At 45.9% G+C, this 6,000-nt stretch overlaps 1 protein-coding gene across 2 annotated transcripts in view; it reads right to left on the reverse strand.

Moving 5' to 3' along the window:
* The window catches only part of FRMD4A (FERM domain containing 4A), a 687,219-nt gene extending 684,322 nt beyond the window's left edge, over nt 1–2,897 (reverse strand). For both annotated transcript variants that reach the window (NR_134578.2, NM_018027.5), the window contains exons 1-2: nt 2,570–2,897; nt 2,031–2,156 (exon numbers count right to left, since the gene is read on the reverse strand). Coding sequence is in view for 1 of the 2 variants with exons in the window: in NM_018027.5 (NP_060497.3) it covers nt 2,031–2,075 (45 nt within the window). In the remaining variant the exon portion in view is untranslated. The remainder of the gene's footprint in view (nt 1–2,030; nt 2,157–2,569) is intronic.

Here is a 6,000-nt window from a genome sequence, read left to right on the forward strand (position 1 = left end):
GTTTACCCTTAAAAAGGAAAAAAAATAGCACCAAAGTCCATAGGGGAAAATTTCCCTGAACTAAACATGAACCAGAAAATGTATACAGACTTTGATTACACATGGTACTCCAGGGTTCTTTAATCAAACGGTCCATCAGGGTGTCAAGAGCTCTTTCCCCTGGTTTCCAAGAGAGGAGAACACGATCCTTTTTTCCGGGCAGGAGGAGAGTGCCAGGGACAGATCTAAGGGCAGAGGCCACTGACAAATGGAAGGTGAAGTCTGAGATGTAGACACTACCAGGACAGCAGCCATAATATGTGGAAGACCCAGGACCAGAAGAGCCTGTGTGTGTGTGTGGGTGGGGGGGGGGGGTGTATAACAGCAGAAATGGATGCTATTCATTTAATTTGGATACCAAGGATTCATGCTTAGGGGCTTGGAATAAAGCAGATACACATCTTTCTTCTAAGTATAGAAGAAAGGTCCAAGTAGGAGGCTGAGACAAGCGGGTCTAACTCTCCCTAAAGATATTTTTCAAGAAAACTTTTCTCCTCTATATTAACACGATGCAGGATTTATTTCTGTTAGTGTACTAGATAATATAATATACATATGCATGTGTGTGTGTGTGTGTGTGTGTGTGTGTGTGTGCATATGTGTGCCTGTATTTCAGAGCATATAACCCAGGCTCCCAGGTTCCCAGAAGTCTCCTAGACCCCATAGATAATGCATTTTAGTGCCAGCCATCATCACGAATACTCAGTGATGGAATGAAAATTCCTATCCAGTTTATTTGACCACAGGTAGACGATGGAGGATAAAGTATCATCAGACGATAGAATTAGTAAGGGAAAGAAGTCAGGTAATGGGTAATTTCTCTGGAAACTGACAATTTCATTTCTTCTAGTCCTACTCCCCCAGTGAAATGAGAAGTCAGCAGAGGCCCATGAGATAGATTTCAGGCAATTCAACTAAATCTGTGGACCCAGTGGAATTTTGAGCAACGAAGAACCAAGATATCTGTTCCTTTTAACATGACCTGGCTTGCCACCCAGGGGGCAGGCTTCCCACTGACGGCTCTTCCAAGTCACCTCCATAAACTCATCAGGCCTTGCAAAGTTGCATTTCCCCTCCTCATTCCGAAGACACAAATCAATATACACAGAAGCACTTATGCTTGGTTCATAAAATCTCCTGTGTAAATGCTGGAAACATTTCCATGCCAAGCCTGATGCAGGCTACTTCCGACAACAGCCAGTATTACCGTGGTGTGTGGGAACCCTGGGAAAGGAGAGAGATGCAAAACCATGGCAAAAGCCACTGCTGAACCTAGTGTCAAGCCAAAAGCCAATTGGGTTGGAACAAGACAGTGCCCATGTCCTTGTGTGCTTTAATATGGTAAGAGCTAGGGCTTTCTTAATATGGTGAAAATTCCAGAGGGGCATAAGGTGAGTCAGCTGCTCACACACAGATAAATGCCTGGACAAGTCCTGCCAAGGTTGGCCATCAATGGTAGATAGGAAACAAGCTGCTCCCAACTCAGTAGCCCAAGCATCACTGAAGCCACAGTGAACCTCCTCCACCACCTCTACAGGAAAGTATGAGCAGATATATGGGCGCCTAGAAAGAAGACCCCATTCTGTCACCCCATGGGCAACAGATTCCACAGTTGCCCTGAGAAGATATCCAAAAACAAACACAATCAGCTCAATTTAGATGCAAAAGACAAGGGGGAAAGGATGCTGGGAGCTGGAGGAGGCATCCTAGCAATCTATTTCGAGGGGCTCTTAGCACCTGTTTGCAAGCACAGCTCTCAAAATAGCATTCAGCAACAAGTTTCTGAAATGGCAAATCTACAGCTTCTTTTCCCTGCAAGTGCTTTGTCATGCTGATACTCTGACCCAAGAAAGCATTTCCAAAGAGCCTGCGGGATAAAGCGGAGCAATGTTGAACATGTCTGCAGCCACTGCAGCGGCAGCAGCAGCCCACGGTGCAGGGGAGGCTGGAGTGGACGCTGCCCGGGCCCCACCTCCTGTCTGAACACTCACCATCAGCAGGCCGAGAGCTGAGTCGGGCACCAGCTGCACTGCCATGGTCTCCGATTCCCATGCACGAATCCTGCTGCCGAGTCAGTCCTCCTGGGCCCCGGGTGGCTACAGAGCATCCAAAAGCACCTGCAGAAAAAGCAGCCAAAATCCAGACTTAGGGAGCAAAAGGCTCAAGGGGAAGATAGGCCACCTTTCACACAGGGTGGGGAGGAGGTCAGGGAAGACAGGGTGGGAACTGTGCTTAGGGAGGAAAAAAAAAAAAAGAAGAAGGAAAATAGGAAGCTGCAGGTTATTTAAAAGTGAGCCCTCCCTAGCTTCGCAAAGCGGCACAGACAGGGAGACCGCATCAAACACAAACGTGAAAGCTTAGAACACGGAATGTTTAACTGCTACCTTCGCCCTGGCAGCAATTCTTCCTTTAACTGACAATTAAAATAAAACATTCCCTATTGCAGATAAATCAAGCAGCCCGAGCCACCCCCTCTCTCTGCATCTCTCAGCAATTCTGCTGCATAAACATGCTGAATGTCACAACATACCGCTCGCAATCTGGTCAGTGTCTTCTTTGCTGCAGATAGGTGTGTCCCTTTTTGCAAAATCAGATATCTGGGAGTGAGACAGCCGAGTCTGACCATGAGGCACCAGGCAGTCACTGGAGATCAGCAAATGCCCTTACCATCCCCGAGGAGGAAGTCACTTAGGAACTGACCCTTCCACCTTCCCCAGATCTACTTTTCCTCTCCAAGTAGACTGGCCAGCTCAGCTCCCGGTAGGGCTAACATACTTAAGAGGAACATGGAATTGCACTGCCTGTTCTGTGAGCGTTCTGATCTCCCTGGCTGTACCACATGTACGCCGCATACAGACACACTCTACCTCTCTCTCCCTCCCTTCCTCCCGCCCTTCCTCCCTCCCATCCCTTCCCTCCCATCTCTCCACAGGGCTGCCTGTTAGGAATTTTGAAGGAGCCTCCCTAGTTCAGGGAGGCATAGGAGGTGAATTTGTCACAAGGGACACTGCTTAACAGGAAAAGGCAAGTTAGCCTTGAAAATCATATCATGCAGCATTTTCCCCGGAAGATGTCAATGAAGGGAGAAAGAAAAAACCTGCCGAATCTTGTTATATAATGGGTAGCTCAAAGGGCTTTCCAGAGTCAAAGACTTAAGAAAATTAGATATCTTTTCATGAGCACTGTCAAGCTTGTATCTTCTTCTGGAGTCCATGTATTCAACTAAAAATGGTTATTCCTGATACTTCTAGTATGTCCTTTTCTGATTTCTTCCTTTACTCACCTCCTGTAATGGCTCCAAAAAATCCTGAAAATTAACTAGACAGTGTGAAATGTAGAAACATAGAGAACAGTTTTCGAAATAAGAAACTAGGGGGAAGAAATTAATGACCTTTCATGTTCCTGTGCACGAGCATAGCTACTGTTCCTTTATTACTTATACTTTTAAAACTATTGATTTGGGCCAGGTATGGGAGCTCACACCTGCATTCCCAGCACTTCTGGGGGTTGAGGCAGGAAGATAGCTTGAGACCCAAAATTCAGGGTGAGCCTAGGCAACATAGCAAGACTTCATCTCTACAAAAAAAAAAAAAAAAAAGAAAAATAGAAATAAAAGAATTAGCCAAGCATGGTAGTGTGTGCCTAGAGTCTCAGCTACTTGGGAGGCTGAGGTGGGAGGATCAGTTCAGTCCAGGAGTTTAAGGCTGAAGGGAGCTATGACTGCACTCCTGCAATCCAGCCTGGGGGACAGAGCAAGACTCTGTCTCTAAAAAAATTTAAAAATAAAAAGTATTTGCTCATCACAGTGCTTAGCACAGAGTAAGTACTAAAATATATTCAATAAATGAGTGAAGGCTGGGTGCAATGGCTCACGCCTGTAGCCCCAGTACTTTGGGAGGCTGACGTGGGCAGATCACCTATGGTCAAGAGTTCAAGACCAGCCTGGTCAAGAGTTCAAGACCAGCCTGGTCAACATGGCAAAACCCTGTTCTATGAAAAACACAAAAATTAGCCGGGTGCGGTGGGCACCCGTGTTCCTAGATACTTGGGATACTGAGACAGGAGAATCGTTTGAACCTGGGAGGTAGAGGTTGCACTGTGGTGAGATCGCACCACTGCACTCCAGCCTGGGCAACAGAGCAAGGCTCTGTCTCAAAATAAAAAAAAAAAGAAAAGAAAAGAATAAAACAAAATAAAATAAGTGAGTGAAAAATTTTCTCCCATTTTGTTTTTCCTATAGTGGCCCAATGAGCTTGAACCTTGATTCCACAGTGTGTGGATGGAGTCTCATGTTACTGATCCCCGGAACACCAGAGCAACCCTCCTTGCCAGCAGGTGCCTGGAGATTCAAAGCATGACTTGAGTCGCATGCATGTGGCCTTGCACAGAACTGTCAGGACATTCTGACTGTGCTGGTGGATTGCAATACTATTCAAAATAATATGTATAGTCACATTTGAAAAATAATAACAATGATTTAAGGAACAGGTCTATAATAGTGATTTAAGGGACCTTATCCTAACTTTTCAGATGGATTTCTAAATGTATTCAACTGATATTTGCAGAATGCCGACTTTGTACCTCTGCCCTCAAGGAACTTTTTATCTGGTAGAATCATTAATGATACAAGATAATATGTAAGAAATGCAAAAAAAAAAATCCCAAATAGTTTGGATAGCACAGAGTAGGGAGGGCTTACCATTTCTTTTTTTTGTAGCTTTTGCACTGGAACTTCAGGAACAGCAGAACATCTTTTTCAGGACATTTGCTTTCTGATTCTACATGGACTATGTGTTTGGAAAATAACCAAAGCTAAGAAAAAACGTTAATATTGGAGCTATTGCAACTGGTGGATATGGGCAGAGAAAAGACAAACCCTGAGGAGAGACAGGCAGGAGCAGCCTCAGGTATGGGACAGTCTGGGACATCCTTAGGTTGCAGAGGCCGGCCTGAGAGATTTTGTGTCAGCCCTTGACGTTGGCCCCCAGAACACCCGCCTTCCTCTCTCAGCACTTCACTCATGGCTCCTTTGCCTGGAAAGCCTCATCCCCTGTCTGCTTGAATTGCAGCCCAGATTTTCTGGAAAATAGCCTGCAGCAAATCTTCTGCAAGAAGACATCATTGGGAGGTGCAATTTCAGGGTGGCAAGAGTGGGGGTGTGGGGAAGGTGAGGCAGGGATGGAATGAGAGCAGGTACAAGGTGGGGTTGACCAAAGTGGGCATAGGACAGCTACTCAGTCCTGAGGAAGAGCTTCCAGACAGGTATGGAACTTCCAGTTTTTGGCATAACCCATCAAGGAGACGAAGGGAGAGGGAGCTAACAGCCTAGTGCTGTCCATTAGTTGACTCTTTTTGGTCAAATTGATTCCATCAGACATTAACCCTCTTGCGCTTCAGGGTTATGTTACCAACTCCCGCAGGTAGGCATGAAAGGCATTGCATCTGAGCCCAGAAGATAAGGAAGAAACCATAGCCTCTGTGAGTCAGTCAGACAGGACCTGGGCCCTGGGGTGGTGAGGCTCCTGCCTCAGTGTGTGGGATGGAAACCCTCCCTGTTCTGTCCTGGGAGGCTAGGACAGCTAGCAGTGCCAGGAATTGAAATGACAATGGCAGCACCTGGGATTCCCAATGAGCAAGTGGCTCAATTTGCCCAGGGAAGACAGGAGGAGCCAAGTAAATCTGGGAAACACATACACTGAGTCTGGTAACAGCATATACGTTCACACAACATTCAGTGTCAAAAGTTGCATACTTCATGAAATTCTTCCCAATTCCTCTATTTGGGCATTCATAGTTGCTTTGTTTGTACAACTTTTAAATTCCTTCTTTAAAAAAATTGGCAGTGATTTGCTTTTCTCTAGTATCCCCCTACTAGAGAGGAACAAACTAATTTCGGAACTGAGCATTGCTCTTCTCTGTTTACTTCTACAGCTCCAAGCATCGAGCTCAAACAGCAGCCCA

Source organism: Homo sapiens, chromosome 10, assembly GCF_000001405.40.
Source record: "Homo sapiens chromosome 10, GRCh38.p14 Primary Assembly".
NCBI classification, from domain to species: domain Eukaryota; kingdom Metazoa; phylum Chordata; class Mammalia; order Primates; family Hominidae; genus Homo; species Homo sapiens.